Consider the following 26,022-nt stretch of genomic DNA (forward strand, 5'->3'; position numbering starts at 1 on the left):
ATATGTAAATCTGTTTTTCATTTGAAAACATAAGGGATAGTCTACTTCACTACACCATAATACTTTGTTTCTAAGAATAAAAAAGCTAAAAACTTACAAATGTAGTTCAATCTCTGAAATTAATAAATAATAAATCTGAGCTTCTAAAGTTAAAGAGGCTAATCCAAGTTCATATAGCAGGTGCATGCCAGTGGTCTTTCTAATATTCCACAATCTTTATTTGTGGAATCATGTTTTTCTAGTGTATACTGCTCAGGGTTTTCCAGAGAAAAAGAATGTGTTGTGTGTGTGTGCTTGTGTTCATGTGTGTGTATCTATCTGTCTATCTGTAGAGAGATTCATTTTAAACAAATGGATCATGCTGTTGTGGGGGTTCGAAGCTCTGAAATCTGCAGGATAGGCCAGTGGGCTGGAGACGCAGAGAAGAGCTAATGTGCTAATGTGGCGGCTCATATCTGAAGACAGTCTGGAGGCAGAATGTTCTCTTCCTAAGGGAACTTCAGTCCTTTTCTCTTCAGGCCTTCAACTGATTGGATGAGGCCCACCCACAATTTGGAGGTTGATCTTCTTTACCAAAGTCTACTAATTTAAATGTTAATCTAATCTGAAAAATACTTTCATTGTAACATCTACTTTGATGTTTGATCAAATATTTGGTTCCCATGGCATAGCCGAGTAGACACATAATATTAACCATCAAATGATGCTGAAAGACTCAATTTAAGAAAAAATAAAAACAGATACTATTAACATTTTAATGTATACCACCCAAATGTTTAAAGTAAATCCAAACTCTGTTGCTAGATTCGTTTGCTTTGTATAATCAGAGAAGTTTCAGTGTGGAAAGTGGGAAGGTAGATTAGCTTATCCAGTATCTAAGAAATCTGACTGAAATATTAATTTTACTTCCTCTTCTTCTCAGCATAAACTTCATTTTCTGCAAGTTGATTTTCACTGATGTTGCATTTTTTAGTTCCATGTTACACATATTTAATCTTCCAGAATGTAGTTTTATCTTGTCTAAAGGCCAATTTTCTAACAAGCTCCAGAGAATTTCCAATAGGGCAAAAGGTGGTCAGTGGAACAGATTGCACTGCTAGAATACATTAATTTATTGCTGTAGTCTTCATTTGAAAATGTGTGTGCTTAATGACCTAGGAAAATCTTGCATGTATCCAAGCATAAGAACAATAATTTACTGGTAGGCAAGTTTCACGCTACCATACTAACCCTAAAACAAATGTTTCCATCATAGAAATGGGATAATGAAAGGTGTGTGAATTTAATTACAAAGAAATGAAAATTTTCTATTCAATCCCAAAGTACACAATCTCATAATTTTGATCATTTGGGTATGTCAGAATCATGGAATATTGTAACCATTATTGGATCTCAGAATATTTCTGATCTCTTCTCCTCATTTTTCAAGACAAGCAAACTGTTGCCCTTGACAAAGGTCAAACAGCTTGTTAGGCATAGAAGGATGTCAGAAATCTTGGTGTCTCCTGTTCTTTCCATGATTATAGGTGGCTCCCCATTTGGGAAAGCTCCTGACCTAAGAATACATCAAATCAAGTATATAAATATTACCTAATATAAATCGTGCAACCTGGCAGTTTACCAACTAGCTAACTATAGAAAAAAAACTTTCATATATTCTCATAATAAACTATTTAATGTTAGAAGCGGTGTGGAATGTTTCTCAGGGAATCATTTAGTAGATTACAGAGCACCGTTAGGCAAAGTTCAATGACATAAGAGCACAGTGGTTTGCAGCCGGGTAAGGAAAGACACTAAGAAAGATCTGAATATTCTAGTGATTTTAGTCATGTAATAAAAACATAATATTAAGCTTCCATCTCAAGTATGTAGGATAATAAATTTGTAATTACATTGTCTAATTTAATTCCCTTTAAAAAACTAGCAGTGTCTGAAACAGAGTGAGTCCTCGATAAATACTTGATGAAGTGAAAAGGGCTTTTTCCCCTTTTATCTCGGAAGAATTACAGTTATTATAACACTGTCATTTTTAAAAAGCAAGTGTAATTTTTAATATATTTGGAAAACAAAATATATTACAGATACACTTGTTAAATTTCATTGATTCTTTTTTCTGTCTTTACTAGTGGCATCATTCACAATCTAAGGGGATAGCTCAAGATTAGCTCTGTAGGCTTGGTCTGGCCTTGGTCTTGTACCTTTTTTGCTTCTAGTCCATTTTTCTGCCCTCAAGACATCTGTGTAGTAGCTAATAAGAGCTAGTCAGTGTGTTTGCATCCCCCTCCACCATGCAACATGAGGGGAGATCTGTGATAGCGTGAATATGGCTATGTCGACAGGAACTAATGATTTCCCCCTCTACTGTTTTCTCTTGAATGGGCCCTGAGATTTGTGCCTGTTTCCACTCCTGAAGAAAACCATAATGCTCCCTCTTGAGATAAGAAAAGCGTTGTAGATAAGAGTTCTAATTCTCCCTTACAAAGAGAAATACTGGTTAGAAGTTGGTTGTGTGACTTGTTTCTATGGGTAAATAAGGACCAGGCTGTATGAACATATTTCATGATGGAAATCTAGAAATATTTGTTATCATTATTGGCATGTTTAAAACTGTCCTTTTCTTAGGGCTTTAAAAACATAAAAACAGAGAAATTGGGCAGGATGAATAAACACAAACTTATGGGTGAATTTTACAGGGTTTTACTACCCAATTTATATAGCCGTAATAGGTGTGGTGTGGCTGTAAATATAAAGGTGACACAAATCCAAGTGTGGATTTGTATAATCATCATCCAATTTCTATTAAAAGTCAGAAAAACAAATCCGCCCATGATGGCTAGAGACAAAAGCTCAGTCATGCAGCCAGTCTCGTTTTTCTTTCTATGTGTCTCTTCTGCCTCTTGGTCTCTGTTAAATTGTTAAAAGGTTCACCCCTACATTTCTCAGCATCAAATTATAACAGAACAAAGGCCCACTACCATAAACAGAATATTCTCTCCTGATGTTTCTTTCATCACTGACCATATTACTTCATGACTTGAACACAGATGTATGTTGCATACTCCTGTGATGGAAGAATCCCTGGAGATTATAATCCACTGTATTAATCTGTTCTCACGCTGCTAATAGGGACAAACCCAAGACTGGTAATTTGTAAGGAAAAGAGGTTTAATTGACTCAGAGTTCAGCATGGCTGGGGAGGCCTCAGGAACCTTACAATCACGACAGAAAGGGAAGCAGACACATCCTTCTTCACATGGCGACAGGAAGGAGAAGAATGAAAACCCAGTGAAGGGGAAGCCCTTATAAAACCACCAGATCTTGTGAGAACTAACTCACTATCATGAGAGCAGGATTGGGGAAACCGTTTCCATAATTAAATGACCTTCCACTGGCTCCCTCCCACGACATGTGGGGATTATTATGACTCATTATGTTAATCTGTGAATTAGTAGAGGCAACAGGAAAAGAAATTCTCATGAATTTCTAGCAGAAAGTTTCCAGCATATAAATCTAGAAATAGATTTAGAACACGGCTTGGATAATTACTGATGAACTACCACTCCACAGCTTCTACTTTGGTAACTCTGTTTTGTTGTTTTTTGTGTTTTTTGTTTGTTTGTTTGTTTTGTTTTTGTTTTTGTTTTTGAGATGGAGTCTCGCTCTGTCACCCAGGCTGGAGTGCAATGGCAGGGTCCCGGCTCACTGCAACCTCTGCCTCCCGTGTTCAAGTGATTCTCCTGCCTTAGCCTCCTGAGTAGCTGGGATTATATGCTCCCACCACCACGCCTGGCTAATTTTTCTATTTTTAGTAGAGACGGGGTTTCACCATGTTGGCCAGGCTGGTCTCGAACTCCTGACCTCGTGATCCACCCGCCTCAGCCTCCCAAAGTGCTGGGATTACAGGGATGAGCCACCATGCCCGGCCGGTAACCCTGGGTTTTAAAGCCATATTCAGTGTTTCCCAGACAAATGGGAAACTCTGATATAAACAATAATAATTACTTGTAAAGGTTTGGTGACACAAATACCAAAGTTGACCTGCCTAAAAAATGAAATTACAAGTTCTTCCATAAATACATAAATATATAAGTGGAAAAAAATCCTGCAAATAGTAGTTTATGTTTTTATTTGGTACTTATTTTGATTGTAAACTGCATGTCAGAGATATTAAATGAATTCATCTCCATTATACTCTCTGTGTCTCCTACTGCATTTGTTAACTAATAAAATACACAGCACAGATGTTCAGTTGTGCACAGTACAGAGGAGATAGCAGATTATCCTACCTATCAGAAAATGACATGAGATAGTTTATATGTGACTAATTCACCACTCAAAACCATTCACTAAAAGTGTGTGGTATTGTATTTGTCTGTTATCTCACTGCTCATAAAGATGTACCCAAGACTGTGTAATTTATAAAGGAAAGAGTTTTAATTGACTCACAGTTTCACAAGGCTGGGGAGGCCTCACAATCATGGTGGAAAGCAAAGGATGAGCAAAGTCACATCTTATGTGGTGACAGGCAAGAGAGGGTGTACAGGGAACTCCCCTTTATAAAACCATCAGATTTTGTGAAATGTATTCACTATCACAAGAACAGCACAGGAAAGACCCGTCCCCATGATTCAATTATCTCCCACTGGGTCCCTCCCACAAAACATGGGAATTATGGGAGCTACAATTCAATATGAGATTCAGGTTAGGACACAGCCAAACCATATCAGGTATGAGGAAATGATAAATGAAACAACTTTGGTAAATATTGTAACTGTTAACACTTAGTAATGCACACATGGGGGTTAATTTTATTATTTTTTTCTACCTGTGAAGCTGTTTTAAATTTTCAAAACAAAAAAGAGTCACCCAAAGATCCTCATCCATCTTTCTATTCATTTGAAAGAGATTCATTTTCTCCATTCAGTAACTCATAGATGATAATTCAATGTTACACACATCTTAAATTGCTGGTTCTTTTCTCAACCTTTCTCCACAGTCTCTTTCCTTTCTAAACTCAAAATATTTTCCTTGATTCATCTTTTGCTCTTTGTGTAAACATAGATATTTATGCAGGTGTATATGCCTCCGCCTTTAAAGCAGATCTCAGCCTAAATTACTGGGCCACAGAGACCTTGGTGTATCTTACTCCTTTTCCTTTACTCAGAAGAGGGGTAACGTCATGAGCTACTTGACATCTGCCTCTCACTAACAAACAGTGATGCTTGAGGATAACAAACTCTGTCACTCACCTATTCAACTAACATTGTAGAGCATGAATTAAGTGCTAACTTTGTGCTAACAGCCAGAGACACAAAGACAAATAGGATGTGATCTCTGTTTTGCCACACAAAACTGAGTAGTAGGTTAATATCAGGAGTGTTGCTTTAGTATTCTTGAAGCAGCGAAGAGTGATATCTAACGAGGTTAGGCAGGAAACTAGGTGAACTAGGTTGGTAGAAAAAACTAGGCTAGGTAGGAAGAACACCTTAGAGGTACTTCTTGAGGATAACAGTGAAAAGTCCAAAAGGAAATACAAAGGTGAGAGGAGGCACTCTTGGTATAGAGCACAACCCAAGTAGAAGCACAGAGCAGAGAAACAAGGTGCTGTATTCAGCAAACCATTAACAGTTTAGTTTTAATATACAATAAGCTAGAAAGTATAGGATGACTAGAGAGGAGGCCATTGATCTGGCAGGAGCACGATAACGGAGGGCCTCACATCGCATGCTAAGGATCTTGGACTTTATCCTGTAGGTAATTAGAAGCCAAATGTTTAAACAAGTAAATGATGTGGTCAGATTTCCATTCTAGATAGATCACGGTGGCCACTCTCTGCAGGATTGATTTCAAAGGGATATCAGTGAAGGCACTGTTAGAATAGTCCACATGAGAGATCATAAGGGCTCAATGCACGGCAATGAAAAATAAGGATGAAAAAAAAGGTTAGAAATCATTCATAAAACTAGTTCATAAAGTAAGCCGTGTTTCACAGTTAATTAGAGGTGGGGAATAGGACAGAAGTGCAGTCAGGGAAAAGTCAAGGATTATTTCGTTTTTAGCTTAGTGGGCCAGATACGTGGTTGCACTCACAACAGATATAAAAAATACTGAAGAAAAAGAGATTTAATCTTTTTAAAATTAATTGTATGAAACCAATCTTAATTGTATAAAACAAATAACAATGAAAGATATTTAATTATACAAAACAATGAAAATATATTTAATTGTACTAAAATAATTAGGATATATCAAACTTTCAAAAAGTCCCAATAAAGAGGAGAGAAATGGGGGCAGAGAGAAAGAAGGGGGACAGGGAAAAAGAGAATCCAGGATATTTTCTTAGGATTGTTGTGTGGAATCAATGAAGTAACACATAAAGTACTTAGTTCTGAGCCTGGCCTTCAATTAATGTTCCATACATTTACCTATGATTTAGGTGCTTATGGTAAATAAAGGTGGAAATGACCAATAAGCAGTAGGCAGTTAGGTACAAAAATTCTGAGACTACACAGAAAGAACTGAGGGGTGAGGGAAGAGAACTCAGCATGATATTTGGCATTCTGATCCTGAACAAGTCAAACCAGGAGGAATATTCAGAGTAAAAGCACCAACAAGAAATAATAAAACAATAACAAAACAATGGGCTACATTCAGACTTTTGGCAAACACCAGTTCTGGGATAAGCAGAGAGAAGGGGATGGGAAGCTTATTTAAGAGAATAAAATCTCACAGAATCTGACAAAGTAATATTATGAAAGTTCAAAATAAAGTACGGAGATCCAGTAAGGTAGGAAATGGAAAATTATCGCTTATGTACTACAAAGAGAAGGACAACAGTGAATGAATTAGGAAGAGATACAATGAAGTGGTGTTGACCGAAACAAGATTAAAGCAGTTTTTATAGATAATGGAAGGCTAATATCTAAAATAAGTAGGATATACTAAACTTTCAAAAAGTCCTAATAAAGAGGAGAGAAAGAAGGGGCACAGGGAGAAAGAGAATCTGGGAATAAATTTTGTTCTTGAGGAAGTTATTTTGGTGGGAACGGCTTAGGTGTATTTACTAGAAGAAAGTTAACAGGAAGTGAGAGTTTGAATGGACAGAAGGAAAGAATAACTTGATGGTGCGGGGGTCAGAGGAAGTAAATACAAATATTAGAGCAGGCAACTAGATGTAGGAAAAGACAGCAATAAAGTGAGCTTTTCATATTTGATTATTAGAAATACATCTCCAGCACTTCCATATTAACATCAAAACCACAAATATGTATTCATTTCATCATCAGGGTGCATATGCTATATAATGATCAGAACTATTATTAACATGGAGACAAGCTAATTTCTTTGAAAAATATAAACCAAGTTTAAAAGACAAATATTGCTAAATCTACTGACAATCTTCTTTATCCGGCCTTGAGTTACTAGGCACTGTCTAACCAAGCTGACCTGAGGGGTTGACCTGGTTTTCAACTGAAGTAGCCAAATTCTTGACTTCATTTTTTTAAAGCAGGTCTAAAAATTTTTACTTAAAGGATTATATTTCCATAATACTACAATCGTGTTGCACTAAACAGTTGGTACAGAAATTTCTTTCTTCCATACTGATTATAGACATAAGTATTTTTCTACAATGTAAACTTTTGCTTATATAATGACATGAAATTAAAAAGTGTAGAGTCCAACTTGAGTCCACAACTACACCTTTAATAACAATACATTTAAATTTGTTTTACTAGTGGGATTTTTCCATTTTCGACGGACTTTCATAACAGAGGGAAGCCAAGAGATGAATCAATGTCCATTCTATATTAAACAGATGTTTTTGTCATCTAGTTTTTTCATTACTCACAGAACAGGAGGCTCCATCACAATCACTCCCTCAAGCCCCACACGTCAAGAAACTAAAATATTTTTTCTTCTGTGAGTAATGTCATTACAAATTATGTATTTAATAATATTCTCCAAATGTTGTCTTATTTTGCTTTCTAGATGGAACAAAGGGCAATCAGTAGAAAAGTAAATTATCCCAAGAAAACACCAAGATAAGCATTTGCTAGTAAAGACACAGAAAAGCACTCAGAGATGAAATTTATAACTTGGCAGACAAGACACCTGAACATTACATTTTTAAAAGACAGTGATTCAGTGCCACAGGTTTATAAGCAACATTATTAATGTCTCCAAATGAAAATAAGTAAGACATTGCTATGACACAGTAGCCTATATTCTTCACATTACAATGTTGTCTGCTAAATTTCCTATAGGGAGTGCTTAAGATTGCATTACAAAATAGTAATTTCTAGGTAAAAATCCTACTGGGAAAGCATATATCCATAGTTTTAAGCAGACAATTTGTCTAAAAAATGATCAATCTATGAATTATAAATTCTTACATTTAATTGACTGAAAAATGCATAACTCACTGTATTTTCTAACTGCTATATTCATCTTCTACATCTCAATGTAGTAAGACCGCCAAATTGAACATTTTACAGCCATAGTCATATATTTAGGGTTTCAACTAAAATTATTCCTATCTTAGAAAAGCAAAAGTCTAATTAATGGTACTGTTAGGGCTGACATTGTCCATATCATCTTAATACTTTCCTTAAGCACTTAAATGAAAAATTTAAATTACTTCACTTATTTTGTCATGGAATTGAATTATTCCAACTGGGTTACACCAAATGTATAGTACACAAATTAGTGATGTGGGATTTTAGTAAAATCAAATGATAAAATACATGATTGGACAATGCTGCCTAAATCAATTGATGTCTCTTACTCTGTCAAAGATTGACAGAATATGCCTAATGGTAAAATTTGTAAATCAATACTTAGAAATGCCTTAATTTTCATATTCCAGTTATAAGAAAGAAACTTAGCTTTTTTTCAAAGCTTTCTACAAATCTTTTTATGAATCTTACCATTTAAAAATTTCTTCAGGCCGGGGGCAGTGGCTCATGCCTGTAATCCCAGCACTTTGGGAGGCCGAGGCGGGCGGATCACGAGGTCAGGAGATAGAGACCATCCTGGCTAACACGGTGAAACCCCGTCTCCACTAAAAATACAAAACATTAGCGGGGTGTGGTGGCGGGTGCCTGTAGTCCCAGCTACTCGGGAGGCTGAGGCAGGAGAATGGCGTTAACCTGGGAGGTGGAGCTTGCAGTGAGCCAGGATCATGCCACTGCACTCCAGCCTGAGACACAGAGCGAGACTCTGTCTCCAAAAAAAAAAATTATTCAAAAAACATAAAATCCCTCCTATTGAATAGTTTCCATTAGAAGGTATAATGCAGACAATTCATTGATTATAATAATAAGAAGAATAACTTTTTTGCTAGGGCTAAACCAAAAAGACACAGAACAACAACCATTTACTTTGTATTAATTTGTATAAGGTGGTCAACTGACCTGTATGATAATAAAGAAAAACATCATAGTCTTCTAAAATTTTCATTCCTACTTCCTTAAAATTGGGTTGTAAACAATGTTTCTTTTTGGTGTAAGAATGAAAACAGAAACATTACAGCAATTTTAATTTACAGTGCTCAAATCTCATAACTTCTAAAATCATTTTTCATACTAAAAGAAAGGGGAAGCACAGAAAACACCTGCTGTAAGACACAGAGCAACACAAAAAGAGGTCATTATCACATCCATACAACTTTCTGTCCATTTATTAAAGAAAATATTCATCTGCTCATCACATCTTCAGGCCTAAACCTAAACACATTGTAATTATATTGTAAAAAGTGTGAAATAAAAACAATATAAAATGGATATAAAATCATAATTACGGATGAATTGACTTTTAAATCAATTAATAAATGACATACGATAATTAAAACATTAAGTGTTGGTTCATCAAATTTCTTCACAATTAAAAATCATTTAATCATTCTAAGTTGCTACATATTGTTTTCAATGTTGGATATAACCATTCCTAACGTAAGCACAAAATTTAAATAAAGAAAAGGTATTGGTGGTTTTATTGAGTTAATAGACAAATGCATGATTTAAAATTTCTCAACAGTCATGAATCTGCCTAAGAAACCTCTCCTATGATACTACCAAACAATGGGGACTTTTGTTTAATATATATTCTGCTTAGTACAGCATTACTGATAGTAGCAAAAATAGTTGCTTAAAATGATTTAAAATAGGTATTTCTATCTAGTAAATCAATAGCTAACAATGTTTAACAGTGGGTAGAATTATTAAATTCTAAGAGAAAAAATGCTGTCAAAATTATTTTTTGTTATTCTAAATGAGATACCCATGCAATTAAGTAGGAAAAGAATAAATGGCAAAACTATCATTTTTTGATGATATGAGCACTTATGTGACAACTTATCAGCTGAAAATCCATGGGAATATATAAGAAAGCATTCAAACTAAATAATGAAAATGTTTCCTTTCCTATATGTACCAGTTAAGTAATACCAAAAAAAATCCAGTCATTGAAGCCATGAAAAATATAAAGTATACGAAAATTGAATTAACAAAAAAATACGCAGGGCCAATATAAAGCAACACATATACACATGATTAAACAGAAATATCAAATACAAGATGAATAGATGGGAAAATACATGCCATGTTGCATAATGCTTAATTCTGATTATAAATATGGCAAATATCGTCAACCTACTAACTTAATGTTAATATCCAATTAAATGCCAACATTTGTAAATATGCCTGAACATTTTCAGCATTTCACTTTTATCTTTAAAAACTACATCACAATTTCAGGTGACTTCCATATTAGTAATAGTACTGAATATTTACACACATAAGGAAGCTGATCATAAATACAGCTAATACACTAACATCTTGGGTTTAGTTCCTGTTTTTTAAAGTTTAATTCAGATTGATAAGAACTTACAAGTTAACCTTTCTATGCCTCTTTTTCAGTGATTCCATAAATGGTCATTATAAAAGAAACTGCAGAAATGAAAAAAGCTGTCCATCATAATTAAAGGCCAGGTTGGCACTGATCACAATCTACGTGTACTTCAGGATGAATACATGACCAACAATCTTGTCTGGCTCTCCTCCTGTGGATTATTTGATTGAATGACTTTCAAAGCCTGTCTTTGTTTTGTGTTGCTATAAAGGAATATCTAAGACTGGGTAATAACTTACAAAGGAAAAAAGGGTTTATTTGGCTCACAATACTCATGTCTGGAAAAGTTGAAGACTGGGCATCTGGTGACGGCCTCAGGCTGCTCCCACTCATGGTGAAAAGCAAAGTGGAGTGTCATGTGCAAGAGATCACATGGTAGGAGGGGAAGCAAGAGAGAGATTGGGGACGTGCCAGGTTCTTTTTAACAACCAGTTCTCAAAGGACCCAGCTGAGCGAGAACTCACTTACCCCTGAGAAAGTTCATCAATTTACTCATGAGGGAAGCACCCCCGCCCTACCTCCAACAATGGGATCAAAGTCCAACATTAGCCTTGGGGGACAATCATTCAAACTTTTGCAGCCTATCACTATTTTCAGTTCTTCCACTTAGACATGTCTTTGCTCAAAAAGATATGGCCAAAAAGAGAAGGGGACTCTCAACCTTATTCCTCATCCCACACTCCCCAACATGGACATTTCTGGCACTCTTAGATTAAACCTGGCACTCCTTGACTAAATCTAGATGTTAAACATTGTTTACTCTGGGCTAGTGTCATGTTTTCAACTATTTTTAACTATTACCTTGTTTGATAAGCAAACAATAAACCTTCATTCCAGATGTCCAGAGAGATCATTTTTTAGGTCTATCATTTTCTCACCCTTAGTTGAGAATTCTTGCCCAAGGCATATTGATCTGAGATGCTGAATTCTCCAGATGATACCAAAGAGTAAAAAGCTAAGATTCATTGCATTGCATCACAGTTGTCCAACATTCAAGACAAAAGTTTGATCGCTAGAATATTTGATCACCTGATCCTAAGTTATTTTTTTAAAAATTATTACTACTACCATCATATGTATCATTACATATAATGATGTATCCGTATAATGATGTATAATGTAATGATGTATAATAATGTATGATGTAATGATGTATAGTGATGATAGGTGGCCTTCCCTAGTCCAGAAACTTTTTTGGGTTTGTACTGAATATTCTTTTTTTCATTACTATGAAAAAAGAATATTTTTTTTCATTACTATGAAATTTTTTTCATTAATTTACTATGATGCTCCATTGATAACATTAATGGAGCATCATAGTAAATTAATTAAACAAATATTAGGATAAAAAAGACAAATAGTAATATTCATTAAATAATTTTCTAAAACAAAATCGTTTAGAATTGTGATAAAGCCCTTTCATTAGTAACAAATCCATGTTCATCCTAGCAACAGCATGATTTATCAACTTTAATCATATCCAATTCAAACTAAATCTTTACAGACTGAAAATCCCAGCCTTGTCACTATGTAAGGATATGAAAACCACTTCTTTTCCTGAACCACTTCAGTTTCTCTCCTTTGAACTATCTTCCTGCCTTAGATCACAAACATCAGCGACAAAAGCACAAAATGCCATCTCCTCTGCTGCCTCTCAGGCCATCTGCAGATAAAATGGTTCTGAATGAATCAGCCCTATGAATTCATGAATCATCTGTTTACTTTTATTAAGATAACAGTGAACAAATGATAACAAAAAGCGTATTAACTAAATGATGAATATGCTACCAGAAGCTGCAGAAGACATCAATGAAATGTCAGGAAGGCAATACGGGACTGTGTCTTACCTGTCAAAAGTTATTTCCAAAATAAATGGACCTTAGGCAGCATGGCCAATGCTTTCATTTTGGCTGTCTTAATGATCAAAGCACATCATTGTATGATGAATTCAGCTGTTTCAATCACAATGAGGGCCAAAATGAATGGATTAGATGTTCAGCTGTCCTGATCATCCAAAGGAAATAGATATGGTCTCAGAGGTTTAAAAACAAAATGCTGCGATTTGGTAATATCTGAAAGTGAATAAAACTGCACCTTCATATGAAACAAACAGTCCATAGATTATAGCCAGTCTACCACTTATACTCACCCTCTATCAAATTATCTGAATCTGGATTTCATAATAGGGACAAGAGTAATAATATTTTTAAAATAATTAAAATTTACTGAGCCCTCAATAAAGTGCCATGCATGAGTATAAATGCTCTATAGTTGTTAATTCATTCATTTCTTACAACAATCTTCTGAGAAGAGTACTCATATTCACATTTTAAAGATGAGAAAGCCAAGGCAAGAGGTCGCATTTGCAAGCCATGTACCTAATAATCGTGCAAGGTTACACGGCTAATAACTGACTCACTCTACTATCAAACCTCAATCCTTTCAGTAATAAGATTGAAACACTTAGTTCAAGTGAATATTAAACTACAGTTAACATAGAAAGTCAATTTCTATTTATGCTGTTGCAAACAGAACAAGAGCAAGCTTTCTAATTCTACTAATGAAATTATCAAAAGTAAGTTATAGGCCGAGTGCGGTGGCTCACACCTGTAATCCCAGCACTTTGGGAGGCTGAGGCAGGAGGATCATGAGGTCAGAAGATCGAGACCATCCTGGCTAACATGGTGAAACCCCATCTCTACTGAAAAAATACAAAAAATTAGCTGGGCGTGGTGGTGGGCGCCTGTAGTCCCAGCTACTTGGGAGGCTGAGGCAGGAGAGTGGCGTAAACCTGGGAGGTAGAGCTTGCAGTGAGCCAAGATCACGCCACTGCACTCCAGCCTGGGTGACAGAGCAAGACTGTGTCTCAAAAAAAAAAAAAAGTAAGTTATATAGTATATTTCATTATTTTTAATGTCAATAAGGCAATGTTGTATGTTAATAAAATAATATACACTAATAACACAGAGTCAACTTCAAAATAGGATAATGAGGAATAAGAATCATGGATAAACCAAAATCCCAGGTAAAACTAAATTACTGTCAACTCTCAATTATCAGACCATACACAAACTATGAATAAGCCAGAGGGGAAATCTGGTTTTCACTTATTTCCCCAGCAGACCTTAAAATTAAACAGCTTCTTACTGCTGGACCATTTGGGCTTAAAGGAGGTTCAGTCAAATGTTGGGGCTGAGTCCCTTGTGAAACATAAAGAACTCCTCCCTTCCTCAATCAGAACAAGTACAAGGTCTCTGCAGTGTGTTGGCCATGATTAATCAGCAGAGCAGTTACAGTGCCCAGAATTATTGACAATTGACTCGACCCAGTTACCTGATTTTGACCATAAGTGGAGTGGAATAATAATGGGGGAAATAATTTAAGCCCTGGGCATAGGGAAGGCCTTTCTAACAAAAGCTAGATCCATAAAAAAACAGAAGTAATCAATAAACTTAATTACTCAAACCCCAATTTTCTGTACTGCACAAAACACCATAAACAAAAGATAAATGAGAAACAGAAAATATTTGCAATTCCTATGACATAGCCAATTTCCCTAATATATGAAGAACTCATACCAATCAATAAGAAAAAGACGAATGAGAGAAACATGGAAAAACAGATTTTCTAAAACAAACTATTTTAAAATTTTAATAAAGCCCTTTCATTAGTAACAAATCCATGTTCATCCTAGCAACAGCATGATTTATCAATTTTAATCATATCCAATTCAAACTCAATCTTTATAGACTGAAAATCTCAGATTTGTCACTATGTAAGGATATGAAAACCATTTCTTTTCCTGAACCACTTCAGTTTGCTCTCCTTTGAACTATCTTCCTGCCTTAGATCACAAACATCAGCAACAAAAGCACAAAATGCCATCTCCTCTGCTGCCTGTCAGGCCATCTGCAGATAAAATGGTTCAGAATGAATCGCCAATTTGTTTTTTTTTTTTTTTTGCGCACACACACACGTACTATATATATATATTTATATGAGCCATATATATATTTATATATATGAGCCATATATATATTTATATATATGAGCCATATATATATTTATATATATGAGCCATATATATATTTATATATATGAGCCATATATATATTTATATATATGAGCCATATATATTTTTATATATATGAGCCATATATATTTTTATATATATGAGCCATATATATTTTTATATATATGAGCCATATATATTTTTATATATATGAGCCATATATATTTTTATATATATGAGCCATATATATTTTTATATATATGAGCCATATATATTTTTATATATATGAGCCATATATATTTTTATATATATGAGCCATATATATTTTTATATATATGAGCCATATATATTTATATATATGAGCCATTTATATATTTATATATGAGCCATATATATATTTTTATATATGGCACCTAAGCACACGAAATAATACTCTACATTGCCCATAATAAAGGGAATGTACATTAAAAGTATATTGATATATCAGGTAGGCAAAAAAAATAACTTTTGGTTAGTTTTTTTTTAAAAAATGAGAACTATCTTGCCTTGCTATTGGAGCAATAATTTCTACAACTACTAGGAAGAAAACTTTGGCAATACCTAAAAATAATTACAGGTGCATATACTTTCTGATGCAGTGAGTTAACTCTAGGAATTTATTTTACTGATAATTTTACATACTTTCAAAAGGACATTTATACCAGATTATTCACTACAGAGCTATTTGCTACATTAGAGGGATTGGAAACCATATAAATGTTTATTAAGAAGGAAATGGATAAAGTATTTAATTCACATATTGAATACTATACAGCTCAATACGATTGAAGTTTATTATGCACTGATATCAGAATGTATAACATGCTACTATTTATATGATAAGCATGTATTTGTTTTATGTGCTTAAAATTTATCTGGAAGAATTTTTTTAAAACTAGTAATTTGGGGGTTTCCTGTGGAGGAGAGCTAGGTAGCAAAAGGACTTTTACTGAATATCCTTTTTAAAATTTCTGAATATTAAACTATGTGAATGTTTTAACTATTTAAAAATTTAAATAAATAATCTGGTTTTCAGACTCAAAATCAATACCTCCTTCATTCACTGATTGGGGACTGAGACTCGCCTTTAATAAGGCAGAATTTAAAGTCATAATTCCCTTTTCTAACAGTGTTACAGATCTCAGCAAAAGACTGTTAAGGAGGAGTGAAACATTTTTTAGGTATATACTTGGCCCAACTTTCTTGTTTAAATATACTTCAATTCTCCAAAAGCCCTCTGATGTTCCATCACTTGGTTATACTTGCAGAAAAAACAGCATTTTAGCATCACCTGAGACAAACAGGTATCAGATGAACCTGTTTGTCTCAGCTGAAGGTTTCGGAGTATGTCTCGGAGAAAGTTTCCTTCAATAATAATATACTTCTCCAAAAGTTTTAACAAGAGATATGTAATAATCTGAAAACAAATGATACAATATACAATGCAAAGCTAACTTTCATTCTTTTTCATAGAACTGTAGCAAAAATAATCCTAGAAATCAAAGTTCGAGAAGAATCTCTTTGCAGGCAATAAAATATATATGTAGCAGAGGAATTATCACGTGGTGGACCTATATAATAAATTAAGCTCTCAATCAATTAAGTCAAAGAATATGAAATAAGCTGAACAAAAGTGGAAATCCTAATTCCCCACATTTATTTCATTAAGGTGCAGGCTACTGAACTTATCTTTGCCTTATCTGTAAATCAGCAATTGTAGGGTTTACCTGCCTATATGTGTGTGACAAATAGCACCAAGAAGACTGTATTAACTCCACTAAATCACTTTATGCCAATACAGGTATTTTGAGAAATAAATTGTGATCATTCCATTTATATGGATTACAGTTGTTTAAATTGCTATTTTTGTGTTCCCTTTACATTGCTTAGAAGCAGCCACATTTTAAAATTTGCTTTGTACCCTACTAAGCTACTATGAAGGAAATACATATTTGCCTTTCTAAGAAACTCAAAGTGAATTTAGTTAGAACTAAACTAAACGGAGGCCTTCTCCTTCTCTGTCATTTGCTTCTAAGAGAATTGTTTGTGTTTTTGGACTCAATAAAGATTTTTCTGACCTTTACCTGTCTGCAATTATTTTTTTAACCTCCTTTTTCTGGATTATCCAACTGTTTAATATATTCCCGCAGAGTCTCTTGGCCTTTCAAAGTTTAAAGGACCTATTAGAAAAGAAGTTTGTGATATGCCGTAATTTTACAGGAACAAACAAAAGGTCAAAGGACCTGAGCCCAGAGATGACAAGATGGTTCGCTGGTAAATCAATACTAGGCTTTGTGTTGACCATGGCAAAAGATTTATGAGCAAAGGGCAAATCATTTAGAGGGTTCAGGGATACCGTGTGCTTGGGTAACATTGTTCTCCCTGCTCTTTTACCTCACCTGAAAATACACTTGATCCTCAATATAAACATAAATATAACAAAATACAAGTTTAAAGTCAAAATCTAACACTGAAAATATTTTAAATGCAAATTTTTACATATATTTTCAAGAAAGTATACATTCTGTGAATAATATGGACGTTAGGATGGCCTCATGGTTCAATAATTAGTGAATCCTGCTTCCATTTGAGTGTAGGTAAAACCTTGAAATTCCTCCAAAGCAGTCTCTAGAAAATGAGGGTGTAGGATTAAGTGCACCACCAAATAAGCATGTGCCTAACATTTGTGGATTTGAAGACATATGTCTATAACTAAGGTAATTATGTTAAATTAAAGATCACTCTGATATCAACTTTAGTCTTGTAGATTGAAGAAAAAAATGTTCACAATTTGATTTGGTTAGAATTCCTCAAGTTCTACCTTAAGACTTATTACAAAATAAGTCTTTGAGTGTGCATGTATCCTATCCTTTTGCTGCCTAATAAGTAGCCACTAACTACTGTGAATATCATGAATTCAGATGTGTGTAAGTATAAAATGTGCACAGGTTTTAGAGATTTAATATGAAAAAAGTGTAGATCTCTCATGAATTCAGATGTGTGTAAGTATAAAATGTGCACAGATTTTAGAGATTTAATATGAAAAAAGTGTAGATCTCATTAACATTTTTAAATTGTTTACACCTTAAAGTGCTCACATTATACTGGGTTAAATGATATTCTTTAAAGTGATTGTACCTTTTTCCTTTTCCTTTTATTGTTGCTATGATTTAAAATTACACATGTGGCTCATATTTGTAGCTTACAGTATATTTCTCTTGTATTTTATATGTATACACTTTAGTGTGTGATATCTACGTGTGTGTTTATACAGACACACATATATTTCCTAATGAAAAGAAAAATATTTACTGGAAAGAAATTGAATAAATTATAGAAAATATTTTCATAAAGCATACAGAATTTTTTAAAAGGCCCCTCTAAATAATACACAAGCAAATGCTGTCTTTGAATGGCACAGGTTCAAGAATAGGTCACTAGAAGCTAAGCCTAATGCCCATCATGTCTGGGGAACCCCCGGAGGGGAAAGTGGTAGCATGTCTACCTGTTTTAATCCCCCAGTAGCACAAGCAGTTGCTCTGGAAAAGTGCAATAAACTGCCTTTTCAGATAAGGTAATACACGTGATTATGAAGAAAAGCTTTGAAATCCATGCAGTAAATCATTTTTAAAAACAATGTGTTCAGAATTCTTCAGACTAATAAATTATTCTTCCTGTACTCTGGTAGTGTTCCCTACTTCGCTGGTTTGTAAAGGTGGCCCTTGGAGACTCTGAAACATTGAAACCTGGTTTATTTTTATATAACATTTCAAGTACACATAGAAATTAGCCCCAAAGATTTTTTTTTTCCTCTGCCAATTGCCCTAGGATGAGGCTTCTCGCCACTAAACACTAGGGAGATGGTAAGAAAGATATAAATGTAAAATCTAATGTGTAATCTTTTTTGTAATTACAAACAAAACTGCAACATGGAGTTTTAGTTAAGTCACCACATAGTCAGTACAAGTGAAGTTCCAGTGGTAATTTCCTTCATGAAGCCAAGACAAATATAAAAAACAAAGGCTGTTCTTCTTGTCCAGAGGTATTCTTGGAGGTAAATGTCAAATTTTACTCAAATGACTTACAGTCTTATAAATCAGCAGCCATGTTTTTATTTTACTGATAATTTAATTGCAATTAAAATGGATGCAAATCCTCCCCAAACCCCAAGTAAACCAAAGTCCACTCTTAGACATTTCCCTGTGAGTTCAAGCCTTCTCACCAGTAAAGATAATCAATATCATCTTTATTTTTCACGATGGCATCTTTTCACATTTTATTTTGTATCAGAAAAAAGCATTTAAGCCTATTGAAAATATCACTTTATAAATAGAATATTTGAAAATATAATATTTGATTCAGACATTCCACCACTATCAGATCATTTTGAGGATACCAACACAAGATTCTGGTGTTTCTTTTCTTTTTTATAATTGGTCTATATAGACATGTCTACACTATGTCCAAGTGTAGTTAAATATCATCTGTTGACTCCTGACATTATGCTGTTATTACCTTAAAATGGAAACATTCATTTAAAGTATATAAGTGGTGTACTTTTAAAGAACCTTTCTGTGGTTTTCCAAAAGCATTCCAAAGAGGTTACTTACGTTGCTTTGAAACTGGTTTGAGTTATGGGAAGGCCATAGCCTCAGACTAGCAGCTGAGACAGCAAAGGAGATGAAAGTTTTTAGCTTTCAGATCCAAGGGGAAACACAGCTGCTACAGCTGGCCTGCTCAGATCTCAACACTTAGTACAATGATGGAGAAGGCGATAATGCTGTGTCTCAGCTTGAAAAGTGCATTAATAAAAACAATCCTTAAATAGAACAGGGAAATCGATTAATCAAATCTAGGCTCCAGGCTGCAAAATGAAATGATTTTTTTTAAAGGCAAGGGAAGGGGAAATCCTCTTAGATTCTTAAAGATATCCACTTCTGAGACATTATCTTGACTAAATGAAATCATATGGAGGATGGAATATAACTTCTTAAGAAACTAAGTTTACCTTGGACAGGTACTTCTAAAGTTTCAACTTACTGTAATAGAAAATGGAAGTTTGGCAAATGTGTATCTTACATAATAGGGACCAGAAATGTGTCAGGCCACCGTGTGTTACTTTTTAACAGCTATACTGCAGAACGCATGTGCAAAGCTGGTAGCTCGTGGAGATTAGTTCCGCCAGAATGTAGAGTACCTGAAGTTGTACCTCAAAATAGTTGTCTAAGGAAGGCAAACATGCCTCCAGGAACCTGTAAGGGAAGCTATGCCAAAATATCTGGGTGGAGCACTTCTCCAAAATAATTATAAATATCAGAAAAATGTAAGACTTCCCTTTTCAAATAATAACACCTTCCTTCGAAGGACTTCAAAAAATTCTAAACAGCCATTATCTTATTAACCTTAACAACTCAGTTAGGTAGGTGAGAGAGTGGTATTATTATACCTATTATTACGATTATTTTAAAGATAAGGGCCCTAATTTGCTAAAGCCACATAACTTCTTCAAGGCCACACAGCAAGTTAAGGTGGAAATAAACCAGAGCAGCTCATCTTGGTCTAGAAATTCTTCACCATTCATTTGCAATGAGTCAGGCTTTCAGGTAAAGTGAAAAGTTAAGATAACGGAATGTATGATACTTCATATACATAAAATGGTTTTAGTATGTGTAGCAACAGTGCATTTAGAAAAAGAGAAATATGACAATAGGCTATAAAATTGATCAAGTAACTAATAATCCTTCTGACTTTTTTTCCCATTTTTTCCTGTCAAAAGGTAACATAAAACCAAACTGTGTGCTTTGATGCTAAGAACACTGTTACTTTTTTGAAAACAAACTGCAGTAACACTGAGAACACAGGAAATATTCTGTTTTTATAGTTTCTCAACAACCAAGGAAATATGTTAGTTCAAACTGGCCTATTAGCTATCTTAAAGGGCAAAATAGATGTTTATTTATTTAACTTATTTATCTACTTTTAAAAGTAGAAATTTTAAAAAAGCTACATCACAACTTCCCTAAGAAATATTAAATTGGCGCAACAGTAATTGCATTACTTTTAAAGGCAAAACCACAATTACTGTTGCACCAACCTAATATTTTCATTCAGTCAATCATTCATTCAACTAAATTTGTTCTAGATTCTGAGGATAAGGTAGTGAACAAAGGCGTCTCTGCTGTCATGGTGATAAGTACTAAGTAGAAAAATTAAAGCACAGTAAAGGGGTAAGAAAGTATACAATGAGGTGCAGGTTGCTGTTATATAGGAGGTCAGGGAATTGTCTTAGCAACTCTTGTACAGCACAGACCTTAGAGAAGGGAGGGGCCAAGTGGGCATCTGGGGATAGAATGGTCCACGCAGAAGGTGTCCTGCAAGTCTAGAGAGAAGTGAGCCACTGTGGGAAAAATGAGGTCAGAAAGGATTAGGTTGGGTGAAGAAGGACAGCGATCATTATCAGGTTTGTAATCCTTCCACAGATCTTGGCTTTGACATAAAGTGAGACTTTATCTTAAAGTCTGTCTAATCTCCAAGTTTAAAGTAGCACATGACCTGACCTACATTGTAGAAGCATCACTCTAGCTGCCTTGAGAAGAAAGAGGGTGTGGGGGCTGGGCAGAGAAAGCCAGCCAGGAGCTAACTTAAGTGGTTATCGCACTAATTTTCAGGTAAAGATGATGGTGGCTCGGTCTACCATAGTAATGGTGGTGGAAAATCAGGATGAGAGGCTGGACATATGTTTAAAGTAGAGATGGCAGAATGTTCTGATGGATTGGATGGGGGGCATGAAAGGAAAGAGAAGAGTCAAGGGTGACATCATGGGATTGAAGTTGAGCAAATACAAGATGGAATTTCTATTTACTGATCTGGGGAATTCCGTGAGTGGAGTAGTCTTTAAATATTTGTTTTGGACACAGTAAGCTTGAGGTGTGTTTTAGATCTTCTAGTGGGCATGATGGGTGGGCAATTCCGTGGAGCAATGCTTTGAAATTATAAAAGTTTAAGGGATCTTAACCAACTCCCTTCACTTACTTGTAGGGAAACATAGCAAATGTTCTCATAAACACATGTTTATTAGAGAGCTTTTGGCAGAAACCTCGGTATTTTGGACCCCAATTTATCTCTCATTTCATTATATCATGTTATAACTACATATGAAAAAATGGTCAAATTTTTATAGGACCTTTTAGGACAGCACTTTCACATGTCTGGCTGAGTGAAAGTGATTTTACTTATCACCCCTTTGGGAGCGCACAAAGCAACAGTTAGTCTCTTTTTGATAGTCTGGAGTTATTATAACAATAACAACTAAGAAAAGTTGAAAATAAATATCACAGAATGTTGTCTTTGTGTCATTTAAAAATAAGTTTTATATATATATATAAAATCACATCATATCATTTTCCTTTTGTAGCTATGGTACATAAGATGTAAGAGTAAAGAGATTTGACAGGAGGTTCAAAGCATGTTCTCGGAGTAACATCTAACCTTTACTGTTTAATTCATGATTTTCAAATATCTTTCAGACAGATAAGACTAGAATAGGCCTTTCATGTTTTTGTTTACAGTCAGTCTCTCTCTCCCATTACACACACACACACACACACACACACACACACACACACACTCTTATAGTCATGCACTGCATAACAATGTTTTAGTCAATGACAGACCACATATACAACTGTGGTCTCAAAATATTATAACGTAGTTTACTATACCTTTTCTGTGTTTAGATATGTTCAGATAAACATATACTTACCATTGTGTTACAATTACCTACGGTGTTCCATACAGTAACATGCTGTACAGGTCTGTGGCCTAGAGCAACAGGTCATATCATAAAGCCTTGATGTGTTCCAGGCTATATCACCTAGGTTTGTATAAGCACATTCTAGAATATTCAGAAAACCACAACATCACTGGATGACACCTTTGTCAGAATGTATCCCTGTCACTAAGTGATACATGACTATAAATTACCCCTCTGGGATGGCATTGAGCATTGTTTTTGGCTACAGAATTTCAAATGTGTGTTAATAAGCTTTATTTCAGAGTAGCTAAATAAGGACAATAATTTTTTGAATAAAAGAAAGGAAGTAATACTAGTCTATATTTTAAAATTTCTCAGCAATTTTAATATTAACTTTAAAACCAGATAACAAGTTTAATAACAAAGGGATAAAGCAGTCACACAGAAAATAATGGTTATAAACAAGAAAAACATAACAAAATAATAACTTATTTTATGTTATCCTCTTCTGCTGCTCAGTAATAAATGTCATAGGTAGAATACTGGAGCAAATATGTAATACAGATTATAACAAAAATATCTGTGGGTTTTAGGGAACAAAAATCCCATAGAAACTGTTACATGGAGGAGGGTTATGAGAATAAGAACAGGCCATGTGATGAGATAACCTCAAGATAGGAAGGCACGAGCACTGATGATAGTGGAGTACAAGGACGTCAAACAGAAATGCTGCTTCTTGGATTGGGGTACCACTCAATGCAGTAAATTACACCTGTTATTTTCTTTCTTTTCTTTGTTTCTTTTCTTTTCTTTTTTTTTTCTTTTTGAGATGGTGTTTCACTCTTGTTGCCCAGGCTGGAGTGCAATGAAGCTATCTTGGCTCACTGCAACCTCCGCCTCCTGGGTTCAAGCGATTCTCCTGCCTCAGCCTCCTGAGTAGCTGGGATTACAGGTGCCTGCCACCAAGCCTGGCTATTTTTTGCATTTTTAGTAGAGACGGAGTTTCACTATGTTGGCCAGGCTGGTCTCGAACTCCTGACCTCAGGTGATCCACCCACCACCTCGGCCTCCCAAAGCTGGGATTACAGGTGTGAGCCACCACGCCCGGTCACACCTATCATTTTCTTTGTGTCATTTTTTGTTGTTGTTTTTGGTCCTTCTTATTGGTCTATTTAAACTATAAGGTAGAAAACACAATTGCAGAAGATTCTAGAAGATAAACAGGATGATTCTGTCTCTGGAAAGTCCTTTTCTGGTCTGGAAAACACCTCAACTGAAAGGATAACATGTTTTATTACCTTTTGCTCTTAACTAGACCTCTTTTAAATAATTCTAAACATATAAGATTACATTTTAAAAGCACATGCTTCTTAGTTTACGTATGAATACTGTCATTAAAAAGACAATGATTAGAGTTACCAGTCCTTATGGCATTTGGGTAAGTCGGGACTCTAACTAACCAGGTCCCACTTTCCTCATCACAGAGTAGCTGTGGATATTATACTCCATGGAGAGCACTTGGCACATTTCCTGGCATACAGAATACATTCAATAACTGTTAGCTGTTTTATTACCATATGGTTATCTATTAAATATGGTTAATAATTCTCACAGATAAACTATAAAAATTTATTCAGAAAGGGCACCTGAAAGCAGATGAAAATATATAAATCAATTTTATTAAATTGTACATCAGTACTGTCAAGTAACATTTATTGATCCTCATCAATATAAAGTACAAATAATACAATGAGCAAGTTAATAGAATATTTAAGAATAAAACAACAAAAAGCATGGATAACTTTTATAATAGGTAAATCAGTCATTGCTGTTGAGATTTTGATTTCTTTAGGTTAATTCTCTTCATTTAATCCAAAATAATGTATAGACTGTCAGCCAACACATTAAAAAAACTATTAAAAATTGAGTGATTTTTTTTAGGATAATATATTAAACAGTATAAGCAAACATTTATGGGCCATTTATGGCCAGTTATCAATAAGGTTATGAATAATAATTTCTTCATATATTTTAAATTTAAGAAACACATTAAATAATGTGTATAGTTATTCCCAGAAATTTAATCCATGTTTTAATTTAGAATCAGTTCCTAGGAAATGAAACATAACTTCTATTATGTGTTCATTTTTAATGGTTTCTATCAATCCCTAAAGCCATTTAGGGATCTCATTTAGGATTATAGGATATTTATAATTAAGCAAAGCAATTTAATACATGTTAAGTAGAAGTGCAAAGATGATTTGTGGAAGAAGTACTTTAAACCTCTGTAACATATCTAGAGACTCCAATTAAATGAGAATCTTTATCATTATAAGAGATTTCTCTCTTCGGCATGGAAGAGAATGTCAGTTCTACTTTCTGTAGTGTAGTGTGTTATAACAACTCTTATTAAATATACTTCCAGTGACAAAACTCTTTAACAGGAGACTGGCAATTCAGTTATTATTAAGAAATCACCAACCAAAAATTATTTAAAAAACTGTGGTCAGCATCATGATTTAATTCATTTTTGTTGTAATTTTTCATTAGAATCATTTAATGCTTGCCCAGTGTTTAATCCTTTGTCCTCAATATTTTATGCCCTGTTATTTTAGCAATGAGAAGGAAGGCTCCTGTGAATGAGACAAAGGATTTAGGCAGGGATCAAATCATGAAAGACTTTGGGTAACAGGCTAAGGAATATGGATTTTACCATGAAGGCAATAGGACCCTTTGAGAGATCTTAAGGAAGGAAATGATAACTTTGAATTCACATATCAAATAGGTTTTCATAATAACTGTGTGACAAACACAGTTTCAAAGGGATGAAGTATATAGGCAAAGGCACCAGCTAAGAAAAGACAAATGGTAGTGATGTATTGTGAGCTATTTGGCCAACAGATACTATTCACGGTAGCCACTGAATGGGAATAGAATGGTTCATAGGTTTATGCATATAAAAAAGAAGGTGGCATTAAAAACTGTCTGGGCCAATTTCATTCATGGAGACAAGAAAAAAAGAAGGAACAGATTGGAGGAAATTAGACATTCCATTTCAGACATTTGCTTTTTGAGGTGACTACAGGATGTTCAAGTGGAAATGATAGTAAACATTTGGCACTTATCAGTCTGTAGCTTAGAAGACAGTTCTGGGAGTCATCAGTTATATAAGTGGTTTGAAGAGCAGGGGAGAAGAAGGAAGGAGGATGGAAGAAAAGGAGTACGGGAGAGGTGATGGGAGGGAGGAAGAAAGGAGGAGGTAAGTTAAGCAAAAGTAGCACATAAAGGAGACAGAAAACTGAGGAGCAGC

General features: G+C 34.7%; 1 protein-coding gene across 18 annotated transcripts in view, besides 1 other annotated feature; it reads right to left on the minus strand.

The window, feature by feature from the left end:
- ROBO1 (roundabout guidance receptor 1) overlaps window positions 1-26,022 on the minus strand; it is a 1,170,760-nt gene that overhangs the window by 230,047 nt on the left and 914,691 nt on the right. The gene's annotated exons all lie outside the window — the stretch shown is intronic.
- Window positions 19,574-19,868: a silencer, noted in NCBI's record as "tiled region #7147; HepG2 Repressive non-DNase unmatched - State 6:EnhF, and K562 Repressive non-DNase unmatched - State 24:Quies". NCBI's record gives its function as "represses a minimal TATA promoter and a strong SV40 promoter by Sharpr-MPRA in HepG2 and K562 cells {active_cell/tissue: HepG2 | K562}" and the evidence as "EXISTENCE:reporter gene assay evidence [ECO:0000049][PMID:27701403]".

This window comes from Homo sapiens, chromosome 3 (genome assembly GCF_000001405.40).
Source record: "Homo sapiens chromosome 3, GRCh38.p14 Primary Assembly".
NCBI classification, from domain to species: domain Eukaryota; kingdom Metazoa; phylum Chordata; class Mammalia; order Primates; family Hominidae; genus Homo; species Homo sapiens.